The following is a 7585-nucleotide window of genomic DNA, read 5'->3' on the forward strand; positions in this document are numbered from 1 at the left end:
CCCAGGGGAACCCCAGCAGGCTTGCCCTGAGGCTCTGAGGGCAGCCAGCCCATCTGCTGCCTCCTGGGTCTGCAGGTCTCAGGACTTTTCAGCCTTAAATCTAGTCCAGACCTAAACTGTCCACGTGGCTGTGCAGGCTTTGCTGAGGTCAAGGAGCAAGCTGGGGGCTGAAATCCTGCTGTCCAGGTGCAAGGCTCACAGGCCTGGGGGACAGGGTGACTTTCTCCTACTGGCCAGAGGTGCTGTCTGCTAACTGAGCTGCACCCCACCCGAATGGGGATTTGCAGAGGCACCATGTGGACTGGGGCTAGGCCTGCCCAAGAAAAGGCCAGACAGTCAGCCCAAGGTCCCTGGAGCTAGTGTCCTCCTGCCCTCTGGCCCTGGGCCTGTTCACCTCTGCAGGTTCTCCAAGGTTACTTCGCAGCCTCAGGCAAACAGACCATGCTTTCTGGATTCTAAATCAAGATTCATAGGTGGACAAAGGAAGTGTTTCGATTTATGAATCTAGAGATAAGGAAATGCTCACAGTTGAAGAGCACTTGCATTTTTCTAGTTTTGAGTGGTTACAAAGTCATCATTTCCACACCACGGAACACTACTCAGCAATGAAAAGGAACACACTCCTGAAGCACACAGCTTGGATGGAGCTCAGATGCAGTCTCCTAAACGAAAGAAGCCAGACTCAAAAGGCTTCCTACTGTATGATTCCACTCATAGGACATCTGGAAAAGGCAACACTTACAGGGACAGAAAACCAATGAGTGGCTGCCAGGAGCCAGGGGTGGGGAAGGAGTTGACTACAAAGGGTGCAGGGAAGTTTTGGGGATGAGTAAACTGTTCCAGATCCTAACTGTAGTGGTGGTTATACAATTGCATGCATTTGAAAAAAGACTGTATAACAATAAGGGCAAATTTTACTGTGTGTAAAATATACCTTAGTTTTTTTTTTTTTAAGAAAGGAAAAAATTACATTTTCTTTTTAACATTACATGCCCCCTTTTTTCCACTCATTTTGGCTGTAACATAAATTTGAATTATTAAAATATTTCAGACCGGGCGCAGTGGCTCACACCTGTAATCCCAGCACTTCGGGAGGCCGAGGCAGGCGCATCACCTAAGATCAGGAGTTTGAGACCAGCCTAGCCAACATGGTAAAACCCCATCTCTACTAAAAATACAAAAAAATTAGCTGGGCATGGTGGTGCATGCCTGTAATCCCAGCTACTACTCGGGAGGCTGAGGCAGGAGAATTGCTGGAACCCAGGAGGCGGAGGTTGCAGTGAGCCGAGATTGCGCCATTGCACTCCAGCCTGGGCAACGAGAGCAAAACTGTGTCTCACGAAAAAAAAAAAGAAAGAAAAGAAAAGAAAAGTATTTCACCTAGTGGATATCTGTGAAGCACTCCCTGTAAATCTATGTGCTCTGCACGGAGCAGCGAGCTGGACCCAGAAGGCCCTCCTCACACCTCCTGACCCTGTGCACTCAGGCCCTATACGCCCCTGTTTCCCTTCCCGGGGAATCTGTATGGCTTCTTGCCTAACAGTGACCCACGTGGCTCAGCCAGTTACTATGTGGTAAAATACTGGAATTTCTGAGATGTTTCCATGGCTTATGGGACCATAATATTTGAAGTGGGAACCTGGGAACCAGCCTCCTCATCACCCCATCCCTTCTCCATCAGGGAAGAGGAGAAGCAGCGCAAGCTGTCAGGCCATGGTCCAGCGGGGACTCTGGTCTGCTGTGTGACTTATCGAGAATCCTGTGTCAAGATAATCTTAGCTGATGTGCCCCTGCCGCGGGAGGGCCATTGGCAATGTTTTGCTTTATTTTTTTTCATTGAACCAAAGTTATCCGGACTATTGTGCATAAAATCAACCCACTGGTTGTTCCTCTCAGTCCTCTTTCCTGAGTATCTTCAGAATCCAGTCACGGCTCCCTTCCTGCGGCCACCTCTTGTTCCAGGCCACGGCCCCTCTCACAGGGACCCTGCACAGGCCTCCCAGCTGACTGGCCCCCAAGCCCCTCCCACAGCAGCCAGCAGGATCATTTGGAGACCAAAGCCTGCCATGCTCCTCCCTCAAAGTCATGAGTACATGAGGAACCCACACCCATTAGCAAGAAAAAGAACAAAAACCCCTTAGGAAGAAGGGCCAGAAAACAGGACAATGCAATTCCTCTAAGCAGAAAGCAATACAAATGGCAAAAACATATGAAATGGGGCTCACGCCTGTCATCCCAACACTTTGGGAGGCCGAGGCAGGCGGATCACCTGAGGTCAGGAGTTCGAGACCAGCAAGGCCAACATGGCGAAACCCCATCTCTACTAAAACGACAAAAACTAGCTGGGCATCGTGGTGTGCACCTGTGGTCCCAGCTACTTGGGAGGCTGAGGCAAGAGTATTGTTTGAACCCAGGAGATGGAGGTTGCAGTGAGCTGAGATCTTGCCACTGCCCTCCAGGCTGGGCAACAGAGCAAGACTCTGTCTCAAAGCAAAACAAAACAAAACAAAACATCTGAAATGATTCCTAACCTTATTTGCAATTAAATTAAATAAAAGAAAATCAAAACAACCATGTGATACCATCTCTAACCCCCACTCCAGCAGAACGAAGAAAATGGAACCATTTGAAGGTGTGGTCTCTGAGACTCCCACCTGAAGTTTGGACACAGGGACAGGTGTGGCCAATGGGTGACGTTTTTGGAGGGCAATTGCAAAGAACACTCCTTTCCATCCAGAGTCCACTGCTAGAAAAGCCTCTGAGGTGTTTACTGATAATGGCTTCCTAAAATACCCACGCGAGACCTTCAGTCCTGCACTGTGTACAACAGCAGAAGCCTGGAAATAAGGTGCTCACCAATAGGGAAGAATTGGGTCAGTTACAGTCCGTCCGCACAACTGAATGCTCCGCAGTCATTATATGAATGGGGTAGAACTGTCTGCACGTACCGAAATGAAACTGGGTCAGAAAAAGGAGCTGTATGTCCCCGTGGATAGACCCACCCCTTTGGTGTAACTTTTTAAAAGCGTAGACTTATCCTCACAGGTATGTGCACGGAAAAAATTTCTGGAAACAGCAACCAAAAACCTATTAAATGAAATTGCCTTTGGCAAGAGACAGGTGAGGAGAAGGAGGATTTCACTTTTCATTTTGGACTTTTCTGTTCTGCTTGGATTTCTAATCATGCGCACATGCATATTTTAATTTTTTAAAGGTCATAAGGAAATATCTAGGTGGTGAGATTTGAGGTCAATTTAATTTTCTTTTTGTACTTTTCTATTTAAAAAAGAATCAAAATCAATGTGTTTAAATGTTTCAAAACAAATAAAAACCTCCACTGCTCTGGGGATAAAGTCCACAGTCCTGAGCATTACACCCAGGAGGGAGGTTCTTCCGGCTTCACCTCCAACTTCCTCGTGCTGAACTCCTGGCCCCAACCCCAGCCAACCCCATCAACTCTCTACAGTACAAAGCTCTGTGCCGTCTTACCTCTGGGCCTTTGCCTATGCTGTTCCATCTGCCTGGAATGCTCCTTCCCCTCTGGGTCATCCCTTCATTTCACCTTATGTTTCCTTTGGCTTGATACTAGGTGCCTGCCAAGTGCTTGGTGGTATGGGCCTGCCTGATGGCTCCCCCTGGCCTCACCTCCATACCCTCAATGCTCCTACTACGCTGCCAGCCTCCCTCACTACCTCGCAACAGCCTTGAAGGTAAGGACGGGGCCTGGGTCACTGGCAATGTCCAGGGCCTGGCACTGTGCCTGGCACATAGTAGGTTTCATAAACATTTGTTGACGGAACTGACAGATGACTGACTGAATGAATGAATAAACAGTGGCACCCCAGGCTTATCCTTAAGCAGGCCTGTCTGTGGGGTGAGGTTCCTGGCCAGGCCCCAGACGCCGGGCCTGGGCACCTGCGGAGGCAACCTGGAGGGGCAGACACAGCCGCCGGCAGCAGAGCCGCCCGCTTGACTCCAAGGTGGCTTTTATTTCCTCTTATTTGGGTGCCAAGTCCCTGAACAAATATTTTCCTGGAGTGGAAGAACGGCTTAGATCCCAGCCTTAAGTGCTGGAAACACCGGCTGGGTAGGGCAGGTTCCAGGAACCAGAGGAAGCTAGGGCCTGGCTGCAGCTGGGGGAGGGGGTCCCAAGGGCTGCCCTCCAGGCAGTGCCCACCCTCCCGCTGTCTGAAGAGGGGGCCCGCTCCGCCTTCCCCATCAGGCTCAGGGAAGCCGCCACTCGCTTGCTCTGCTCGGCACACAGCTGTGAGAGGCTTTTGCCCTGGGCCTCTCTGCCCATAAATCAGAATCCTCTGGGATTCTGAAGAAAACGTACACCATGTGGGCCTCCCTCATTTTTGCTGAAAAAGCTGCAGTGAGATTTAAAGGAACTAATTAGAATCTCAGAAGCCCTTTTATAAGCGTTTTTCTTCCCTTTAACTTTCTTATTGAGGAATAACATACGCAGAGTGCACTCGTCTAAGTGTATAGCTTGATGATTTATTTACATATATGTTCACCCTTCTAATCACCACCGACATCAAGCCAGAGAACATTTCCGCACCCCAGAAGGTTTTTTGTGTCCATGCCTAGTCAATACCACACCCTCAGCCCGAGGAACGCACTGGCTTCTATTATCATCAATTAGTTTTGCCTGTTCCTGAACTGCCTACAAATGGAATCATGCAATGTAGGCTTTGTTGTGTCTGGCTTCTTGTGCTTAATATATATGCCCATGATGTTCATCTCTGTTGTACCCGTGTCCGTAGCTTGTCCTTTTTTGTTGCTGAGTAGTATTTCACTGTGTGAATACACCACAATTCATTTATCTATTCTCACGGTGAAGGACATTTGGGCAGTTTCTGTTTGAGCTCTGATGAATAAAGCTGTTACATGCATTCTTATACACACCATTCAGCAGATATATGCTCTCATTCTGCTTGGATCATAGGGTAGGTATATGTTTAGTGTTAGTAAGTATTTCCAAGTGAGTTTCCAAAGAGCTCCTATCAATTCTCACTCCCTCCGACAACCTAGGGACATCTCCCCACAACACGACGTTGCCCATCCCTAAAAGCAGCCTTTCTGGTGGTGGGAGGTGGGTGTGGTGGTGACTTGCACTGTTAAACATCTTCTAAATGTTGCTTGACTTTCAGAGCAGGGTAGCAGTACCAGCCAGCCTCAATGAGCACCCCAAAAGCAGAGCCCCCCTACTCGCAGTGAGCCCCTGAATGCCATGCCTCCTGCCAGGCTGCACAAGGAAACATCTGCCCTCCAGGAGCACCCAGGGTGGCAGGAAGCCAGAAAGATACCTGCTGTCATGTGGCAGGAGGTGCCCGAGAGGCATGACCTGAAGTTATGAGAACACAAAGGACTCAAGTGCCTCCCCCAGGCTTGAAGGAGAGCAGGTGTGGGGCGGACCTGCTGAGGACCTGCACTGGGGCAAATCCATCCTTGCACATGTGCACGCCACGAGTGGGCGCGGCTCATGTACTGGGGAGGCGCAGCGGTGTTGGGAGAGGGAGGAAGGGAGAAAGCCAGGGGAGGGCTGGTCCCATGGCCAGGCAGAGTCTGCAGAATGGGGGCCTCCAGCTCCAACAGCTTTAGGGCCTGTGGGCCCAAAGCAGTTTCTAAGCCCCTCTAGGCTCCTCACTCATTCAGCTCCAGGTGCCAGGGGCTCACCACCTCCTGAGGCAGCCCAGCCTCCTTTCTCTTCTGCCAAGCTGGAGAGAAGGGGCAGGGGAAGAGGGTAATTGGAGTGAGGGAGAGGGCGCCTCAGCGGAGGGAGCGTGGTCCTGGTCCCGGGGCTCCTCTGCACAGTCGGTACCTGCAGACCCATTTAAAAAACCCTTTCTCCCAGATGCTGTGGGGGGCCCGTGCACCAGCAGTGCCTTACCTGGGAGGGAGCCTGAGATGGCCCACCTCAAGGCCCAGCTCTGGGACTACTGTCCCTTCCACCCTAGATGGCCCACTCAGAGCACAGCCTCATCCCCAGGCTCCCCTGTAGGAGAGCAAGGTGAGGCAGGGGCACGCCGCCCAGGTGCAGCCAGTTTTGCCTCTTACCAGCCCCTCCTCCCCACCCATCCTACAAAGTCATCAATCCTCACCTCTGCTCCATGGCCAGGCCTCAGGCCCCCAGCCCTCTGCACCTTCATCTTTCCTGCAGCCCCTCAGAGGCACCCTCTCCCTTGTGGGCAGCCCTGCCGCTCCGCATTCCAGCCCCTCCCTCCTGCACCTGCCGGCACTTCACATCCTCTACTGACATCCCTTCCCCGTGTGAGAGACTGACTTGAATTTGTCCTTCCAGACCCAGTTCAGCCACCCTCTGGCACCTCCATGACCCAGACGCTGGGCAGGTTAGGTGCCCTGTTGCCCCACAGCCCACACAGTTCTCTGTCATTGATACCACTCTGTCATTTGTCTGCTCCCTCTGGCCACAACCTCCCTGAGAGCAGAGAGCAGAATAGAAGGCAGGGTCTTTATTCTGGCTATGAAAACATATCCCAAGCAAAACCCCTGAGGCAAGCGAGGCAAAAAAATGCTATTTAAAACAGAAGCTGGCTGCACATTGAGAGTGCAGCACGATCTGAGAGAAGATGGCTCGTGCGTTTAGAAAATAACTTGGGAGAGGTCTTAGTAGAAGATCCAGTGAGTCGCCCATGCAATGTACACACACACTCTCCCCCACACCCAGGCCAGACTGTGGGCATGATGTAAAGGGAACGGAAAAAGGAAATAGTGCCCACTGCTCCCCTCCCAGGCAGGGCAAGTGGGAAAGTGGAGAGATGGGGATTAGGCTTTGCGACACAGGACAGCAGGCTGAGGCCCAAGGGGAGGTGGGCAGTCACTGCTTGAGGAAGGGGTGCCCAAGGATGACATTTAAACACCTCCACCTTTTTTACTGTTAGTCTCAAACATGCGGCAGTCTGTTTGATGGCACAGCCCTGCCCTGGGGGTGCCCTGGGGTGGGGGACTCAGAATGGAAGCACAGAGTTGCGAGAGGGCATTAAGAACAAGCAGGGCCAAGAGGTGGGACGGGGTGCAGTTTGATTTGGATATATGGGGACAGGCAGCCCAGGGAGCTGGGGTCTTGGAACCTTGCAGGTCCCATGTGGAGGGTTATTAATATGTTATTAATAAAAGTATTACTATCTGATGGCCAATTCTACAAGTGGGCCCTCCCTGTCCAGTCCAAGAACTGGCAGGAGATAGGCACTGGTATTTTCAGTGTTTGTTGAATGAATAAATGACCTGGAAAACTTTATCTCGGCCTCCAAACCCTTTGGAACACAATGTGTCAGGAAGAATAGAATTCTCCATCCTGCAAAGCCACCTGGAGCCAGCAGTCCCTGCTCCATCAGCAGGTGCAGGGGCGGGGAAGAAACGGTCCCTCCTGCTCTGCAGGGCCCAGGCCATTCCTGGGGTCTGGGGTCTGGGGTCTAGGGTCAGGGGGTGACCTGCACCAGGGACAGAGTGGGCCAGCAGCCTGGACAAGACTGGAAAGCCAGCTATAATAGATGCTCTAGGACACTAAGGACCCCTGCGGTGCAGTGTGCTGCCTCAACCTCCAGGTCTTTCACTGTCA

At 51.5% G+C, this 7585-nt stretch overlaps 1 annotated feature.

Annotated features, from left to right (window-relative positions):
* Positions 4096-4669: an enhancer, noted in NCBI's record as "H3K4me1 hESC enhancer chr2:20396651-20397224 (GRCh37/hg19 assembly coordinates)". NCBI's record gives its function as "activates a minimal SCP1, AML or CMV promoter by ChIP-STARR-seq in primed H9 embryonic stem cells {active_cell/tissue: H9 hESC(primed)}" and the evidence as "EXISTENCE:reporter gene assay evidence [ECO:0000049][PMID:30033119]".

The sequence above is a fragment of the Homo sapiens genome, chromosome 2 (assembly GCF_000001405.40).
Source record: "Homo sapiens chromosome 2, GRCh38.p14 Primary Assembly".
Taxonomy (NCBI): domain Eukaryota; kingdom Metazoa; phylum Chordata; class Mammalia; order Primates; family Hominidae; genus Homo; species Homo sapiens.